Source organism: Homo sapiens, chromosome 22 (assembly GCF_000001405.40).
Source record: "Homo sapiens chromosome 22, GRCh38.p14 Primary Assembly".
Taxonomy (NCBI): domain Eukaryota; kingdom Metazoa; phylum Chordata; class Mammalia; order Primates; family Hominidae; genus Homo; species Homo sapiens.
The window spans coordinates 17,103,773-17,121,467 of NC_000022.11; the positions used below are offsets into that span (position 1 = coordinate 17,103,773).

The 17,695-nt window shown below is 56.0% G+C and overlaps 2 protein-coding genes across 5 annotated transcripts in view, besides 4 other annotated features; one reads left to right on the forward strand and one right to left on the reverse strand.

Annotated features, from left to right (window-relative positions):
* Positions 1-11,921, forward strand: part of IL17RA (interleukin 17 receptor A) — a 30,694-nt gene extending 18,773 nt beyond the window's left edge. Inside the window, exons 9-13 of one of the 2 annotated variants that reach the window (NM_014339.7) lie at positions 954-1,038; positions 1,819-1,830; positions 2,081-2,182; positions 3,955-3,996; positions 4,535-11,921. In NM_014339.7, coding sequence (NP_055154.3) covers positions 954-1,038; positions 1,819-1,830; positions 2,081-2,182; positions 3,955-3,996; positions 4,535-6,048 — 1,755 coding nt within the window. In that variant the 3' untranslated portion in view covers positions 6,049-11,921. The remainder of the gene's footprint in view (positions 1-953; positions 1,039-1,818; positions 1,831-2,080; positions 2,183-3,954; positions 3,997-4,534) is intronic. The other variant, NM_001289905.2, reaches the window with a different exon arrangement.
* Positions 2,038-2,238: a silencer, noted in NCBI's record as "peak4440 fragment used in MPRA reporter construct". NCBI's record gives its function as "represses an SCP1 promoter by STARR-seq MPRAs in K562 erythroleukemia cells {active_cell/tissue: K562}" and the evidence as "EXISTENCE:reporter gene assay evidence [ECO:0000049][PMID:32103011]".
* Positions 3,008-3,227: an enhancer, noted in NCBI's record as "active region_18611". NCBI's record gives its function as "activates an Ori minimal core promoter by ATAC-STARR-seq in GM12878 lymphoblastoid cells {active_cell/tissue: GM12878}" and the evidence as "EXISTENCE:reporter gene assay evidence [ECO:0000049][PMID:35858748]".
* Positions 3,185-4,384: an enhancer, noted in NCBI's record as "MED14-independent group 3 enhancer chr22:17587847-17589046 (GRCh37/hg19 assembly coordinates)". NCBI's record gives its function as "activates an origin of replication core promoter dependent on BRD2, BRD4, P300/CBP and CDK7 cofactors, and independent of MED14, by STARR-seq in HCT116 cells {active_cell/tissue: HCT116}" and the evidence as "EXISTENCE:reporter gene assay evidence [ECO:0000049][PMID:35650434]".
* Positions 12,525-17,588, reverse strand: TMEM121B (transmembrane protein 121B). Of its 3 annotated transcripts, none has more exons than NM_001163079.2 (2): positions 17,480-17,588; positions 12,525-16,371 (listed from the first exon to the last, which is right to left on the reverse strand). In NM_001163079.2, the coding sequence occupies exon 2, from the start codon at positions 16,288-16,290 to the stop codon at positions 15,619-15,621; it is 672 nt and encodes a 223-aa protein (NP_001156551.1). In that variant the 5' UTR covers positions 16,291-16,371; positions 17,480-17,588; the 3' UTR covers positions 12,525-15,618. The 3 variants fall into 3 exon arrangements, with proteins under 3 accessions (NP_001156551.1, XP_011544426.1, NP_114096.1); XM_011546124.3 differs by lacking the exon at positions 17,480-17,588 and having other exon boundaries at positions 12,525-12,935; positions 15,427-17,473; NM_031890.4 differs by having other exon boundaries at positions 12,525-17,588.
* Positions 17,300-17,429: a silencer, noted in NCBI's record as "silent region_13433". NCBI's record gives its function as "represses an Ori minimal core promoter by ATAC-STARR-seq in GM12878 lymphoblastoid cells {active_cell/tissue: GM12878}" and the evidence as "EXISTENCE:reporter gene assay evidence [ECO:0000049][PMID:35858748]".
* Positions 17,589-17,695: the final 107 nt, after the last annotated feature.

Consider the following 17,695-nt stretch of genomic DNA (forward strand, 5'->3'; position numbering starts at 1 on the left):
GTGCACAGGTGGAGAGTGGTGTGGACGGGAGTGGGGAGCGTGCACAGGTGGAGAGAGTGGTGTGGACGGGAGTGGGGAACGTGCACAGGTGGAGAGAGTGGTGTGGCTGGGAGTGGGGAGCGTGCACAGGTGGAGAGAGTGGTGTGGCTGAGAGTGGGGAGCGTGCACAGGTGGAGAGTGTGGTGTGGCTGGGAGTGGGGAGCGTGCACAGGTGGAGAGAGTGGTGTGGCTGGGAGTGGGGAGCGTGCACAGGTGGAGAGTGTGGTGTGGCTGGGAGTGGGGAGCGTGCACAGGTGGGGAGAGTGGTGTGGCTGGGAGTGGGGAGCGTGCACAGGTGGAGAGGTGTGGCTGGGAGTGGGGAGCGTGCACAGGTGGAGAGAGTGGTGTGGCTGGGAGTGGGGAGCGTGCACAGGTGGAGAGAGTGGTGTGGCTGGGAGTGGGGAGCGTGCACAGGTGGAGAGTGTGGTGTGGCTGGGAGTGGGGAGCGTGCACAGGTGGAGAGTGTGGTGTGGCTGGAGTGGGGAGCGTGCACAGGTGGAGAGAGTGGTGTGGCTGGGAGTGGGGAGCGTGCACAGGTGGAGAGAGTGGTGTGGCTGGGAGTGGGGAGCGTGCACAGGTGGAGAGTGTGGTGTGGACGGGAGTGGGGAGCGTGCACAGTCTGGCATTCTTGCTGGTGGACAGGGGAAAGCTTGTCCTCTCTGTGGCACCAAGCACCACTACCAGTCAGGATTCCTTGCCTGGTAAGGCACTGCCCCTGCCTTTCTCCTGTCTGGTTCTCCCACCCTCACCTGGGCAGGGGTTCGCTGACCCGCCCTTGCTGGAGGGAGATGATGGTCACCTGGAGATCGTGGTGTAGCCAGCCAGGATCCCCTCCTCTCACATTGCCGCTGCTGGCTGGAAGGCATGGGCGCTCTACAGTTCTGGAGCCCTTTTCCTGCCCTCTCTGCCCGCAGATCCAGCCCTTCTTCAGCAGCTGCCTCAATGACTGCCTCAGACACTCCGCGACTGTTTCCTGCCCAGAAATGCCAGACACTCCAGGTAGGGGACATGCGGCTGTCCTAGGCCATACTGGGAGAACAAGTGGCTGAAGGCCCCCAGCCTGTGCTGCGTCCTTACCTGGTTCTGAGGGGTGATTAGGGAGGAGAGTTTAGTTTAACTTGGAGTCCTTCAGGCCTGAAGTGTGGAGTGGGGCTTTAGAGTGTCACTCCCTGGGGCTGGACTCCTGGCTGTCTTTCATTAGCTATGTAGCCTTAGGCAAATTACTTAATCTTTTTGATTCTCAACTTCCTTGACTGGAAAATGAGGTGGTTTTTATCCTAGAGCCCTAGTTCTGTGCCATGCACTGAGCGCAGTGCTCCAACATGCCGTCCATTTTTTCATCCTCACTCATTGTGAGTCACGGTACTATGCAGTAGAGGATCCCCCCACCCCAAACCCCAGGTTCCTGGATAAGGAAACTGAGGCACAGAGATGTTGAATAACTTGTCCAAGATCACACAGCAGGGACGCTGTTTTCAAAAGTCGCATGCCCTAATGCACGGGAGGCTGCAGCCACGTGCTCACCAGAAGGCAAGGCGCAGGCATGGAGCCAGGCTGGAAGGAGAACCCAGCCTCCCAAGGAGGAGGCAAGGTGTCTCTTCTTAGACCAGCAACTCAAGTGTCTCTTGTAGATGGTTTCATTAAGTTCAACCTGGATCTAGAGTGCCTGGTGCAGGGCCAACATCATTAAAGCCCTCAAGGGACGTCAGTTGTGTTTCTTGTGATGACTGGGAAGGGTTAAGAATGCTATTTTCCCTTTTTCCTCTGTTCTCATTGCAGAACCAATTCCGGGTAAGCTTGGATCTCTCTCCGACAGCACTGCAGCCCTCAGGGGACATTCCCCAGTGGCCACTTGAGAAGTCCCTGCCTCAGCCAGGCAGACAAGGCTGAACCGAGGCCAGCCCGGGGTGGGGGGTGAGACCATGGTTTGTCGTGGTGGGGCCAGAGAGGACAGAGCCTGGGGCTGGGGAGCAGGGCTGGGGGCCTCAGGGTGGGCAGGGCAGGCCCCGCCGCATCACTCACGCTGTTCTGCTCACCGCAGACTACATGCCCCTGTGGGTGTACTGGTTCATCACGGGCATCTCCATCCTGCTGGTGGGCTCCGTCATCCTGCTCATCGTCTGCATGACCTGGAGGCTAGCTGGTAAGCGCTGGGGCTCTGGCTGTCCTGGAGTCAGGCTCTAATACCAGCACCACCACTCACTACCAAGGCAAATCGCTTTATTCTCAGAGCCTCAGCTTCTTGCTTGAGAACCACGTCATAAAGCTGTTGTAAGGACTGAGTGAAATAAGACACATGAATTCTTAGCACAGAACCTGGCATGTGCTATTTGCACAGTATCTGTTAGCCACGATTATATTTGTTGTTATCAAATGTAGTATTATTAAAATCAATAGTTTGGAAGGAGCCGGAGTAAAGTTTCCCTGTGTCAGGAATGATCATCCAGGCAGGTGGAGCAGCCTGAACAACCCCATCCTGCAGCCGCCAGACGTGGACGCCTGGGGTCAGGGAGAATAGTGAGGGTCAGCATCGGGTGATAGAGAAGGCTCCGGCTGCCCTGAGCCACAGGGGTGGACCCCAGCCCCACCTCATTAGCCTTGTAGTCACAGGCCAGTTACTTAATACACCATGGATTCACTTTTCTGTAAAATGTACTGATAATGCCTCCCTCTAAGGGTGTGACGAAGGTTAAATGAGTAGCTGAGGAAGGTGCTTGCTGGTGGGGATTAGTACATACCAGTGTCTTCTCCCACCTGCAGCCCTCTGCTGGCCAAGTCCTAAGCCGGGAGAACACAGGCCTTCCGGTTGGGGCTTCAGCCCTTGCCTGCCCCACCATGACCCTAGGCTGCTCCTTCCGTCATCTGGGAAGCTGTTTCCACCCTTCCCTAGGCTCGTCAGGATTAGGTGTTAATCATTATTAATTATTATGTGGTAGAAAGAAAACCAGCCAGGCATGGGAGGACCTATGGGAGGTTCCAATAACATTCAGTAGCATCTCGGCCAGTGCTCCACAGGCGGTGCAGCTCTCTAAAGGTTTGGGGCTGGGCGGCGGCGGCGCTTTTGGTTTCCTTTCTGCTGTTGCGCTTCTGTTTTCCGAAGTGTCCTGCACCACAGGGTGAAGGCAAGAGGAGCCTCGCTGTTATTTGGCTGTCTTGTGACAGTTCTGGGGAAGAGCTGAAAGGGTTAGGATTGAGATTAAGGTTCTAAGTCGTTTGCTCAGTCATCTGTGGATCTCAATCCTCCCAGCTGTCACTAAGGAGTTAACCCCCGCAGAGCAGTTTTTTCATCACATCTCTGAGGGGAACAATTGCTTAAGTATGTGGGTTCCCCTTCCTCACCTCAAAAATACCAGGAGGAAATGTTGCAAGCAGCCTGGTGGGGCTGCTTCTGGAAAGAAGTGTGGTAAGATGCATGTCTTCTGTAAAGACACTTCTGGGGAAGAGCTTTTCCTCATGTGGAGTCAGTTTGGGGTGGCCAAATTTCAGGGAGACAGGGCAGACCAGGACCGTAATGAGGAACCAGAATGGACACCACCCCCTGCCCCCCGGCACTGGGGGTCCCAGCTGGATCAGTGCTACAAAATAACTGTGATCCCAATTGATTATGTACAACGTGCCAGGCACGTCACATACACACACTCATTTAATACCCATTAAACAAGAGCAAATACAGACCCACCTCACAGAGGAAGAAGCTGCATTTCAGAGGCACTAGTAACTGCTCCAGGTCATAGTGCTCGTAGTGGCAGACCCAGGACTCATGCCTGTGCGACCACCTAGCACGGCCTCGCTGCTCAGTCTCGGGGCTGCCCCCTTACCCTTCACCCTTTGTCAGGGATGGGGCAGACACCCTGTGAGCTGGTTTCTATTTCTCTTCCCAAAGAACCACTCCAGTGTATTTCTTTTCCTTTCCAGGGCCTGGAAGTGAAAAATACAGTGATGACACCAAATACACCGGTCAGTATTTCCTGGTTTGCATGTTTGCTTATTTTTAAAGCAGTGGAGGGTTCTCCTGGGATAAGTGCGTGGGTCGCCTCCTGTGCTCTAACTCCCAAGTCCCTTCAGGAGACCCCACCTTAGAAACCCCCTTCCAGTACCCCACTCAGAAGGGCCCCCAATAACAAGGCCTGGGTGCCATTTTTTGAATCACTCAGACAAGGAAAGAAAGGTAAGTATTTTGTGAACAGAGGTCCTCCCTGGAGCAGACCAACAGAGCTTGGTGCCTCTTTTTCTTTTCTTAATTAAAGTATAGGCTAAAGACCAGCTAGGAACGTTGAGAGATTCTTTTTCCCACAAGGCAGCAGACTGATTTTTTTCAGGCAGCCAAAGGTGGAATAGTAACATCTGGGTTTTTCCAACAGGCCTCAGTTGGGTTTCTCAGCTTAGGGAGGGAGCCAAGCTCTGTGTCCTGGTCCAGGCCCCTCCTGGGCTGGCAGGCACAGAGCTGCCCTGGGCCCTGGGGTGAGGGTCAGCATGTGTGGTCTTGTTTCCTTAGATGGCCTGCCTGCGGCTGACCTGATCCCCCCACCGCTGAAGCCCAGGAAGGTCTGGATCATCTACTCAGCCGACCACCCCCTCTACGTGGACGTGGTCCTGAAATTCGCCCAGTTCCTGCTCACCGCCTGCGGCACGGAAGTGGCCCTGGACCTGCTGGAAGAGCAGGCCATCTCGGAGGCAGGAGTCATGACCTGGGTGGGCCGTCAGAAGCAGGAGATGGTGGAGAGCAACTCTAAGATCATCGTCCTGTGCTCCCGCGGCACGCGCGCCAAGTGGCAGGCGCTCCTGGGCCGGGGGGCGCCTGTGCGGCTGCGCTGCGACCACGGAAAGCCCGTGGGGGACCTGTTCACTGCAGCCATGAACATGATCCTCCCGGACTTCAAGAGGCCAGCCTGCTTCGGCACCTACGTAGTCTGCTACTTCAGCGAGGTCAGCTGTGACGGCGACGTCCCCGACCTGTTCGGCGCGGCGCCGCGGTACCCGCTCATGGACAGGTTCGAGGAGGTGTACTTCCGCATCCAGGACCTGGAGATGTTCCAGCCGGGCCGCATGCACCGCGTAGGGGAGCTGTCGGGGGACAACTACCTGCGGAGCCCGGGCGGCAGGCAGCTCCGCGCCGCCCTGGACAGGTTCCGGGACTGGCAGGTCCGCTGTCCCGACTGGTTCGAATGTGAGAACCTCTACTCAGCAGATGACCAGGATGCCCCGTCCCTGGACGAAGAGGTGTTTGAGGAGCCACTGCTGCCTCCGGGAACCGGCATCGTGAAGCGGGCGCCCCTGGTGCGCGAGCCTGGCTCCCAGGCCTGCCTGGCCATAGACCCGCTGGTCGGGGAGGAAGGAGGAGCAGCAGTGGCAAAGCTGGAACCTCACCTGCAGCCCCGGGGTCAGCCAGCGCCGCAGCCCCTCCACACCCTGGTGCTCGCCGCAGAGGAGGGGGCCCTGGTGGCCGCGGTGGAGCCTGGGCCCCTGGCTGACGGTGCCGCAGTCCGGCTGGCACTGGCGGGGGAGGGCGAGGCCTGCCCGCTGCTGGGCAGCCCGGGCGCTGGGCGAAATAGCGTCCTCTTCCTCCCCGTGGACCCCGAGGACTCGCCCCTTGGCAGCAGCACCCCCATGGCGTCTCCTGACCTCCTTCCAGAGGACGTGAGGGAGCACCTCGAAGGCTTGATGCTCTCGCTCTTCGAGCAGAGTCTGAGCTGCCAGGCCCAGGGGGGCTGCAGTAGACCCGCCATGGTCCTCACAGACCCACACACGCCCTACGAGGAGGAGCAGCGGCAGTCAGTGCAGTCTGACCAGGGCTACATCTCCAGGAGCTCCCCGCAGCCCCCCGAGGGACTCACGGAAATGGAGGAAGAGGAGGAAGAGGAGCAGGACCCAGGGAAGCCGGCCCTGCCACTCTCTCCCGAGGACCTGGAGAGCCTGAGGAGCCTCCAGCGGCAGCTGCTTTTCCGCCAGCTGCAGAAGAACTCGGGCTGGGACACGATGGGGTCAGAGTCAGAGGGGCCCAGTGCATGAGGGCGGCTCCCCAGGGACCGCCCAGATCCCAGCTTTGAGAGAGGAGTGTGTGTGCACGTATTCATCTGTGTGTACATGTCTGCATGTGTATATGTTCGTGTGTGAAATGTAGGCTTTAAAATGTAAATGTCTGGATTTTAATCCCAGGCATCCCTCCTAACTTTTCTTTGTGCAGCGGTCTGGTTATCGTCTATCCCCAGGGGAATCCACACAGCCCGCTCCCAGGAGCTAATGGTAGAGCGTCCTTGAGGCTCCATTATTCGTTCATTCAGCATTTATTGTGCACCTACTATGTGGCGGGCATTTGGGATACCAAGATAAATTGCATGCGGCATGGCCCCAGCCATGAAGGAACTTAACCGCTAGTGCCGAGGACACGTTAAACGAACAGGATGGGCCGGGCACGGTGGCTCACGCCTGTAATCCCAGCACACTGGGAGGCCGAGGCAGGTGGATCACTCTGAGGTCAGGAGTTTGAGCCAGCCTGGCCAACATGGTGAAACCCCATCTCCACTAAAAATAGAAAAATTAGCCGGGCATGGTGACACATGCCTGTAGTCCTAGCTACTTGGGAGGCTGAGGCAGGAGAATTGCTTGAATCTGGGAGGCAGAGGTTGCAGTGAGCCGAGATTGTGCCATTGCACTGCAGCCTGGATGACAGAGCGAGACTCTATCTCAAAAAAAAAAAAAAAAAAAGATGGTCACGCGGGATGTAAACGCTGAATGGGCCAGGTGCAGTGGCTCATGCTTGTAATCCCAGCACTTTGGGAAGGCGAGGCAGGTGGATTGCTTGAGCTCAGGAGTTCAAGACCAGCCTGGGCGACATAGTGAGACCTCATCTCTACCTAAATTTTTTTTTAGTCAGTCATGGTGGCACATGCCTGTAGTCCCAGCTACTCGGGAGGCTGATGCCAGATGATCACTTGAGCCCAGGAGGTAGAGGCTGCAGTGAGCTATAATGGTACCATTGCAATCCAGCCTGGGCAGCAGAGTGAGACCCTGTCTCAAAAAAAATAAAAAAGTAGAAAGATGGAGTGGAAGCCTGCCCAGGGTTGTGAGCATGCACGGGAAAGGCACCCAGGTCAGGGGGGATCCCCGAGGAGATGCCTGAGCTGAAGGATTGTGGTTGGGGAAAGCGTAGTCCCAGCAAGGAAGCAGTTTGTGGGTAAGTGCTGGGAGGTGAGTGGAGTGAGCTTGTCAGGGAGCTGCTGGTGGAGCCTGGAGGGGAAGGAGGGAGGCAGTGAGAGAGATCGGGGTGGGGGGTGGGGGGATGTCGCCAGAGCTCAGGGGTGGGGACAGCCTTGTGCGCATCAGTCCTGAGGCCTGGGGCACCTTTCGTCTGATGAGCCTCTGCATGGAGAGAGGCTGAGGGCTAAACACAGCTGGATGTCACCTGAGTTCATTTATAGGAAGAGAGAAATGTCGAGGTGAAACGTAAAAGCATCTGGCAGGAAGGTGAGTCTGAAGCCCTGCACCCGCGTTCCGACTATCAGTGGGGAGCTGTTAGCACGTAGGATTCTTCAGAGCAGCTGGGCTGGAGCTCCCCTGAGCTCAGGAAGCCCCAGGGTGCAAGGGCAAGGAAATGAGGGGTGGTGGGTCAGTGAAGATCTGGGCAGACCTTGTGTGGGGAAGGGGTGCTGCTGTGACTTCAGGGTCTGAGGTCCAAAGACAGCATTTGAAAAGAGGCTCTGAAGCCAGTGTTTGAAGAATTTGTTCCTGAAGTACCTCCTGGGGGTAGGCTAGAGGCTTCTGGCTTCAGGGTCCTGAAGAACACATTGAGGTGCCGTCTGACACTGGAATAGGGTGCCCTTCATTCCTATGCCTGAGTCCTTAACTATATTTCCAACCTCCAGTGAGGAGGAGAAGATTCGGAAATGTGACAGGAGAGCAAACAGGACAGTTTGCATGTGTGTGTGCGCACACATACATGTGCGTGAAAGATTATCAATAAAAGTGCATAAATTTGTTGATCTGGTAAGAGTTTCTAGCAGGAAGGTCGAGCCACTTACTGTAGGTCAAGAAGTTGCTAGTTGCGGAGTTTTTTCTTGCAGTTAGACTTTACCTAGTGGTAGCAGGGCCACCAAAGCTCTGTGTCCCAGATGGTGTATGGCCCATAATCCACCCAACAGCAGCAAAGGACCAGGCAAAGGAGAACAGGAGCAGAAGCCTCCCAGCCACTAGCCTTTTGGGCTCAGTCTCTCCAATAATCCTGGAGAGGGGCTTCGTTGGGTCTGGACACCTACCATGCATTCTGTGACCTTTCCCTAGCTTCCAATAAATAACTGTTTGACGCCCAGAGTACAGGATACCACAATGCACTCTTCCTGCGTAGAGCACATGTTCCCATCTGCTCCCATTCCTCAGGAACCTTGAATTCTAGCTCTGCTGGCCTTTGAGCCCATGCCAGTAAATGTCCTGATGGGCATTGCCTACTATCTCCAGGGCAGCTGCCTTTGTCCTCCTAACAGCTTTATTGGAGTACAGTTCACTTACCATACAATCCACAATTGACCCTGCACAATTTGATGCCGGTTTAGTATAGTCACAGTTCAGCAGCCATCAGCACAGTCAGTCTTAGAGTTTACTACCCCCAAAAGAAATCCAGCCCCCCTTAGTCACCACCCCAACCTCCCCATCCCTAGGCACCCCTAGGCTACTTTGATCTCTGTAGACTTGCCTCTTCTGGACATGACATAGAGAAAGGAGTCATAAATTCTCCAAGGTGTCTGTTTCTTCTTTAATGTCATTCCCTGTTTCTCCTCACATTCCCTCCCCATTTCCTGGGCCCAGTCTCACACTGGTCCTTGCTTACCCTAAATGCTATTAATTCCATCACTCTGAGTATGGTGTTTGCTGTCCGCTGAATGCCAAGAGCTTCAAGAGTGTGTGTAAATAAAGCCACACCTTTATTTTTGTATTATTCTGAACCATGGCTAATAAATTGTTTCACCAAGAAATGTCTCTCTAAGAACAGGTGCCCTCCACGCTGTGCCCCTCCCACCTCTTCAGCTCGTCTCCTGAGTGTGCAGAGGTGGTTCCGGTTGGGAAAGAAGCAGCGGAGCATCTAACCATGCCTGTGTCCAGGCCGATTATGCACGCAGCCACCAACAAGCTCCCAACTCCCGCGTAGAGTTTCATGACTTTTTCCTGCCTACTATCTTGATCCTAGTTTTTTTTTTGTTTTTTTTTTTTTTAAGGAATAATTACTTTGATTCAAAACCAGTTTCTCTTTTCTGCATAGGAAGGTCCTTGAAGGTGTTTAGGGTCTAAAAAGGGTGGTGTTCGGTCTCTGAAACATCCATTCAGCAGTTTGAGCTGGGATCTCTGAATGCAAGGGTATGATGGATATACTTCTTTCTTGCTTTTGTTGTGTTTTGGTTTTTTGTTTGTTTTTAAGTCAGGGTCTCTCTGTCACCAGGCTGTATTACAGTGGTGCAATCATGGCTCACTGCAGCCTCGACCTCCCAGGCTCAAGCCATCTTTCCACCTCAGCCTGCCAGTGGCTAGAACTACAGGCGTGCACCACTGTGCCCGGCTAATTTGTGTGTATATATTTTGTAGAAATGGGGTTTCACCATGTTGTCCAGGCTGGTCACGAACTCCTGGGCTCAAGCCATCTGCCCGCCTCATCCTCCCAAAGTGCTGGGATTATAGGCCTGAGCCCACCGTGCCTGGCCTTTCCTGTTTATCTTTGAAAATTAAATAGGGCATAAGAGAGAAGAAGATGTACTTACAATGCAGTGGGTGGTTTTAACTCTATAGCCTTTGGGCTCTGTGGTTGGTGCTCCCCTTCCTAAATAAATGAGGTGTATGCAGGGCCCTCTTCTGCCTTAGCGCCCTGCCAGCTGGGACTCCAGCAAGGCCCGGGGCACCTGAGGACAGAGTGAGATGGAGGGCCGCTGCTCCAGCAGCCGGGCCTGCATCCCACAAGTCAACTGTGTCGGACAGAGGATCCTTACAAAGAAGAGGCAGCAGGGTTGGGGGCTGGCCAGCTGCTCGTCCGCCCTAGGTAGCTTGCTCATCTGTAAAGTGGGTGGGGCAGGAGTTCCCACCTCATGGGGTCCTGGCAAGCCTGCAGTATCCCCGAGTGGCACCAGCCTGCTTCTGGGGCAGAGCAGTTTGTGCCCCCTGAGGTACCACTGATCCTCTTTCCCTGCTATTAGGTATTGCTCTCTTCCTCCGGTGTTTGCCTTTTCAGATTATAGAAGTAATATGTGTTCCCATATTTGGCGTCTCTCAGGAGCTCAGGAAGTACTTGGCTGAGTGAACATGTCCATTGTGGAAAAATGGCAACAATATGGATTCCATGGGTATATTTTATAGAAGAATATGAAGAAAAGCAGCTACCCCTAAACCCATTGCACAAGCTGTTCATGTTAATTCTGTACCCGACGCTTTCCCCACGGGGCCTCCCCTCACTCTGAAATGGCATCCAGGTCCATCTTGCCCTCCACCTCTGCATGGCTCTCCATGCCCCATCGCCTCTCCCAGATCCTAGCACTGGGTCCACACTCTCGCCCTGTCCATTTAGGTTGATGAAAGCAGGCAGTCACCCGGGTGGGCCAGTCTTGCCTGTGGGAGGAACATGCAGTCTCCTGTCTCATGGTTTGAAGTGTGCCAGGAAGCCTGGCCCAGCCCACCTCCCCCTGGAGTCCTTCCCAGGAGGAATAACCCCTTAGGTCATTGACTATAAGATGAGTTCGCTCACTGGATCCTTCCTCTCTGATGAGACAGGAAGAAGGTACACAGTGACCAGGTAGGAGGAGGAGAGGGAGTAGAAAGGAGGGATGCGGGTGGCTGGTCCCTGCATTTGCCTGCTTCCCTGCACGGGTGTCCCACTGGCCGCCTCTGCTCACCAGTGTCATGGGATTCTCTCAGAAGATGAAAACAGCCCCTGCTTTTTTGCTAGAATGGCTGAGCTTTCATGGAAAGGAAGCTGGACCCAAGCAACAGCCGACTACCGAAGGTTGCCTGGAGCAGTGCAGATGTGGGAGGAAGAAGGGCCTTGGTGCACACTGGCTTTTCTTCCTGACTGCAATGTGGCATTGTGCCAGCTACCTCCTCTTTCTCGGCCTCAGGAAAATGGAGAGAAAGCAGCCCTGAAGGTGGCTGTGACGAGGGAAGGGGCAGAGGGCCTGACAGTCAACCACGCGCTATATTTTCCTGTTCTTCCTTAGGGCAAGAACTGCATGGCCAGACTCAGGCAAGGCCTAGGTGTGGGCTGGGCATTGCCTACACGTGAAGAGATCACTCCGCGTCCCTACTGCACCTGTCACAAAGTGCCTTCTGATATGCCTGGCAAACCAAAATCGGTGAGCGCCAGCTTGCTTCCCTAGAAGACATTTCTAAATATTCATAACATGCTTGCTCAAATCAATCACCTTATTTTACATCCGCTCCAGGGAGAAATGAAGACATGGTCCTACGTTGTTCTGTAATTATTTTCTATGTAAATTTTGTTCCTTGTTACAATTATATATGTCTTAGGGGAAAGGACCATTTCACATGTGTCACCTCATGTGATTCTCACCACAGCCCTGTGATTGCTCCTGTTTTATAAATAATGACATAGTTCCAGTTGATGGCCAAAGCCACAGCTAACGAGAGGCAGAGAGAGCTCAGGCTCCCAGGAGCTTCCACTCTCAGACCTTGCCTCCCGGGCTGCCCTGAGTGAAACGCCTGCTTAGCATTTGGCACAGCCAGAAGCAGCAAGCTAGGGTCACAACACAGAGAGGGGCTGTGTAATACTGGCTGCCTCTGTGCTAAGAAAAAAAAAAAATCACTGTGTGTTTGTTTATTTTGGTGCAGGCCCAGTGTTCTTGCTTAGACTTAATACTACCCTTCATGTTAAAATAAAACCAAACAAAAACCCATGGCCTTGTTCTTCTTATTCATACGTAAGAATTTGTGCTTCTGGCTGGGGCAAGAGTGATAGAGGAGGGCACAGTATTTAAAAATTAGTTTCTCAAGATGTTCCCCCTTTGGAAAGCTACTCTTTTAGAAAGAAATGGGAAGCCGGGCGTGGTGGCACACTTCTGTAGTCCCAGCTACTTGGGAGGCTGAGGCAGGAGGATTGTTTGAGCCCAGGAGGTTGAGGCTGCAGTGAACTATGATGGCGCCACTGCACTCCAGCCCAGGTGACAGAGTGAGACCCTGTCTCAAAAACAAAGAAAAAGAAAGAAGGAAGGAAAGAAAAGTGAGAGAGAGCCGAGGGTGATGAGAAAAAATCGTTCTCAGGCTGAGTCCATTAGAGCTGAGCTGGCTGTGCCAACAAAGCATGTCAAGACACTCACCAGCTCCAGGCCACAGCTTCACTGCCTCCCTGAAAAACATGCCAACTGCCTAGAAGGGCCAAGGTGTACCCATAATGTTAACACAAACTTATAAAATAATGGCGAATGTCACAGTGACATTTAAGAATTTTGTAAGGAAACCAGGACAGAAAAGATCTTAAAACAAACCACACAGGAAGCTTGTCACAAGTCTCAAGTTTTTTATTTTCAGAACAGAGTCTGGTTTTATTTTTAAAAAGAGAAGGAAAAAAGTGATAAATGCTAGTGAGGTGCCACTTCCCTCCTTCTTCCAGGCTCTAACCGCCAGCTAGCTCTCTTTCACAAAACCCACGGATGCAGAATCAGGACATGTTAAAATGGAACAGTCTTTAGAGAGGGTCTAGTCTTTTTAAAATAAGTAAGGATTTGGGGACTAACAGAGAGGAAGCCCCTGACTTGCTGAATTGTTAGGAGCAGGCGGTTCTCGAGATTCTGAGCCCAGGATCCTTTTCTGTGAACCATGCACGTGCTGGCACTGGCCTCAGGAGACAGTGCCCTGCCTTGGCTGTCAGGTCCACGGAGAAATCTCAGGTTTGCCCCTTCACTAGGGATGCCCTAGAAAGCAAGGGCAAAGGAAGCTTTAGGGGTCATCGTGACTGGGGCAGGGGAAGTGAGTGCAAGGACTCAAGAAAAACACAGCAGAGGAAGGGACTGACCCTCTGAGCACACAGTGGTTGACCCACATGTGTAAAAGAGGGTGACTGGGGCTGAACTGGGGGCCTGATATCTGCCAGAATTGGCCAAGTTGCCATCAGCTTCTTGACATATCCAGGGAAGTGGCAGCTCATTGGAACTTATCACAGCCTCCCACCAAAAACCTAACAAACAGTACAGAGATTTTACAGTCAGGGAGGCCCAGCAGGAGATGGCCATCCAAACAATAGAAGGGGGGCAGATCAGGGGGCCAGCCAGCGGCTGGCCATGGCTCAGACACAATGTCCTTTCACAGTCACTGAGATTAGGTAGCAGAGAAACACAGCAAAGCTGGAGAGAGGACATGGGAACAGCGAGCAGCTGTTGGTACCCACCCAGGGCCCAGGCCCCAGAACCTTGAGTACAATCAAAGGGAGAGGAGAGGAGTCAGTGGGGGCAGGGGAAGAAGGCAGAAAAAAATACCAATTAAGTGTGAAATCCAGCCAGCTATTGGGCCACATAGGGTGAGGGACTGGAAGCACAGATTGTGCATGGAGTGTAAACATTTTCCCCCGCTGTTCCCTGCTCTGAGAGCATGAGGAGGCTCAAGAGAACTCTGGTCAAGCCTTCTGCCCCTCTTATGTCTGTCTACAAGGGTGTCTTCTGCTCCAAGCCCCCAAAACAGTTGTAAGAGGGGGCTTCAAGTGGGAGGCGGGGGCTTGGCCTGGGTGCTGAGTTAACGGCCAGTGACTTGGCACTTCTGACCCTCCCTGTGCACTCTGCAGCTGTGCCAGGCCCTGCCCCACACCCAGCCCAGGCACCCAAGCCCTCCCTCCGGCCTTCTCTGCTGGGGCTTCACACACCCAGTACAGAGCAGGGAATGTTCTGCAAGTGCAGCCTGGCTGGCTTCTCTCCCAGCCACCTTTACAGGGAGCATCAGGACCAGGGCTTTCAAGAGCCACAAACTCAAAAGAATGTGAGAGCTGAAATTACCTTCAACCTTAGAGATCACTCATCTAACTTCTACTTTTTTAATGTGAGAAAACAGGCCCAGGAAATAAAAATATGTCACTCAAAGCCAATGAGTGACAGAATCAGAACTAGAATCCACATCTTCTGGTAACTCGTCTAGAGTTTGTTACACTACATAAAACTTCCCAAACGTAAGAAGGGAGAAGGGGAAACAAAAATTCTTCAAGTTTCACCCCCACCACATCCTGTTGAGGGTGGAGGGAAGTGAGTATTTCCTGGCCTTGTTAGCTGCTGTCCTCCTGCACCCTTAAAATATGTAAAAATACTTATCCTGCCTCAAAGACTGCAAGAGTGACATTCCACACCGACTGTAAGTGCACAGTCCCCGGATGTCTCTTGTCATCACCCTCAATGAGAGGAAGAGGGAAAGTTCTGCAGCCTGCCTTGGCCCTAGTGAGACTCTTAACCAGACCAGAGGTGGGAGGTCACCACCTCACTTTCTGATCTACACTTCCTAGAGGAAGGACAGGTGGGGAATGGGGCTTCCTACTCCCTTGGGCCCATGGGAGGCCCAACTTCACATCCATCCAGGAAACCCACCAAAGCTATTACTCTAAGCCCAGATCCGACCCAGTCGGCACCAAACCACAGGAAGGATAAGAGTTCTAGGTGCAGAGGGAGGAACAGAGAGAGGCCAAGCCAATGGCTGATACTCCGCAGACCCTGTAATAACACTGGCACCAAACCCCAGCTGGAGCCAGTGGCCATGGCAAATGCAACTTCTGAGTATTTTGTCTTCATTTTTTGCAAGCAGCATCAGTGCATGATGCAACAAAAGTTGAAAGCACGGAGGTAGAAATGCTCACTCACCCAAGAAAGGGTGCAGTTTGGTCCTTAGAGAATGGATCCCCTCCTCTCCCTGAGCTGAGAAGAGAGGAGCAGTATTGAGGAAGATCCTGGGTGAGATTCTCCCTTCAAGGGGAGTACCTGGGCAGCTCCCAGGGGCCCAGCTCTTCCTGGGAATTCATGGTCACAAATCCAGGCAGAAAAGAGGAGGGTGGTGATAAGTATGGTGTAGGGGGCAGGGCCTCCCCAGATCTCCTACCCATTGCAAAGGGCCACAGGGTGGACACGAGAAAACAACACTACACACACAGAGACATACACTTTGTATCTATCACCTGGAAGAAATCCAAGAGACACATCAGTGGAAAGTGGGTTCTGGGTCAATTTCAAGGCATGGGACAATGGCCACTAACCACAGCCTAAAAGAGGCTGGCACTTCTAAGCAAGGGAGAAGGTCCAAGGCCCAGCACCCCTCTCCTCCTAATGGATGGGAATTAGAGTGGAGGTGGGCAAAGCAAGAAGCAGAGGTACCAGCCCCTTGGAGGTCAGGATTGGGGTAGGATAGGAGAAGAGAGGAGAGGGTAAGTGCACCTACCTCCCTCACCGTTAACTGCTGGTCTCCCTCCAAGCCGTCCTCACCCCAGGGTGCAGAAGAACACCCTGGCCCTTAGCCCTGAAAAGGGTTACCTCTTCCAAATAGACCCTGATCAAATCTAGGTGACAGAAGGTAGAAGACAAGGGGGTTGGGGACTCTCAACCCAAAAACAAGGACCCGTGCCCTTCACCCTCAATTCTGAGAGGCCACAGCCAGGGTGTTGACATAGCCATGAGCACCCCCCTCGTTCTCCGAGATGCAGTGGCCCAGCTGGGAGCCTCCCTGAGGTGGTGGCGGAGGTGGTGGAGGGGCGGAGGGCGGAGCACCGTAGCCCCCTCTGGCCCGACTCGGGGAGGCCCGATTGCCCCGGTCCCAGCAGCCCTCCAGGGCCTCCAGGCCCCGGCAGCCGAGGAAGAAGAGGTTCTTGAGCATGAAGATGGAGAGGGGCTGCTGGTAGCTGACCACCAGGAGGCAGCGCAGCGCCAGCAAGGGCACGTCCACCAGGCAGCCGCCCAGCAGGCGCAGAAGGCGGCTGCAGCTGCCAGGCCCGGAGGCCTGGCCCCAGGATGCAGCCGCTGCGGCCGCGGCGTTGAGCTCGTAGAGCCAGAGCACCGGCGAGGCGAGGGTGAGGAAGTAGACGGCGATAAGCAGGTAGCGCAGGTGCGCGGGCAGCGGCACGCGGCCCTCCAGCATCAGCTCCACCAGCGTGAAGCTGTCGAGCAGGTCCAAGCACGTGCCCAGGAAGCATCCGGCCGCGCGGTGCCGCTGGGGCTGCAGCAGCAGGGGTCCTGCCGATCCCGGGGGCGCGCCCGCCTCGCTGATGGCCCGCACCAAGCTGTAGAGCAGGGGCACCGACAGCGCCATGGTGAGACGGAAGCCCGTGGTGCCGAAGGGCGCGCGTAGCTCGATGAGGTCTAGGATGGACGTGCCCAGGATCAGCACCACCTTGGGAGTGAAGGCGATGGAGTAGATAAGCCAGGCCAGGTAGGCGAAGGCGAACTCGCCCGCTGCCGCGGCCGCCCCCAGGCCGCCCCCCGCGCCGCCGGCGCCCCCGCGGGCTCCGCGTGCCTTGGCCCCAGCGGTAGCGGCCGAGGGGGCGGGCAGATGCAGGGGCGGCGCGGCGTGGTGGTGGTGCAGGTGGTGGTTGTGCGCGCCGCTGGCTGCGCCGCCCCGACGGCCCCGGCTGTTCTTGGCGAAGAAGATGGCCCAGCCCACCACCACCACCAGGTCAGTGGCGATCCAGGAGCACCAGTACAGGTCGGTGACGGCGATGAGGTACAGGTCCAGCAGGCCGCCCTGCGCCAGCAGCAGCACCACGGACAGCGCCTGGTAGCCCCAGCGGCACCTGGGACTGGGGGCGCAGCCGCGGCGCCGACCTCTGCGGCCGGGGCGGTCTGGGCAGCCGCAGCAGCAGCAACACGGGCAGCAGGAGGCGCCGCTGCCGGTCCCGGTGCCGCCCGCGCCCCCCGCCGAGCGGCTCCCGGGGCCCCCGACGGCCCCGGCCGCGGCGCCCCCGCCGAAGTCCGCGGCTGTCATGCTGCAGGAGGAGGTGGGCGTGGAGGTGGAGGAGGAGGTGGCCGCTGAGGAGGAGAAGGCGACAGGCGCGGGGCCGGCGGGGGCGCCCACCTGAGCCGGCGGCCCCAGGAGCGCGGCGTTGGGCACCAGCGGCTTGCTGACGCTGAGGCTCTCGTCGTCGTCCTCGCGCTCGGCGCCCGTGCTGCTGCTCGGGGAGCCGCCGCCCCCGCCGCGTCTGCCGCCGCCTCCCCCGCGGCTGGTGCTGGTGCTGGTGCTGCTGTCGCCGGAGCCTCTCCGGCCGCGGAAGGAGCCCCCGCGGAGGAAGAGGGGCTGCAGCCGGGCGGCTGCCGGGGGCGGCGGGAAGGAACCGGACGCGGAGGAGACCGAGCGAGGGTGGCCGAGCGCCGGGCGCATTGTCCTCCGAGGGGCTCTGGGGCCGCCCAGCTGTTCCCTCCCCGCCAACCCCGGGCGGGCGAGGCGGGCTAGGCGGCCGAGGGGAGCCGGGGCCCGCCGCCTCCCCAGCAGTGGGGACTCGCACCTGGGCCGGGCGGCGGCGAGATCCGGACTGGAGCCACTGGACTGGGCGAGCCGGGCCGGGCGGCAGGGAGAGGGGGCAGGCGGTGAACCGAGCGGACCGCGGTGAAGACAGGCGAGGCGGGGGCGGGGCGGGGCGGGGCGGGGAGCGAGTCCCGCCGGGAGGGAGGGAGGCTGGCGGCGGGGAAACCAGGACTGGATTCGAGGGGGAGAGGAAGCA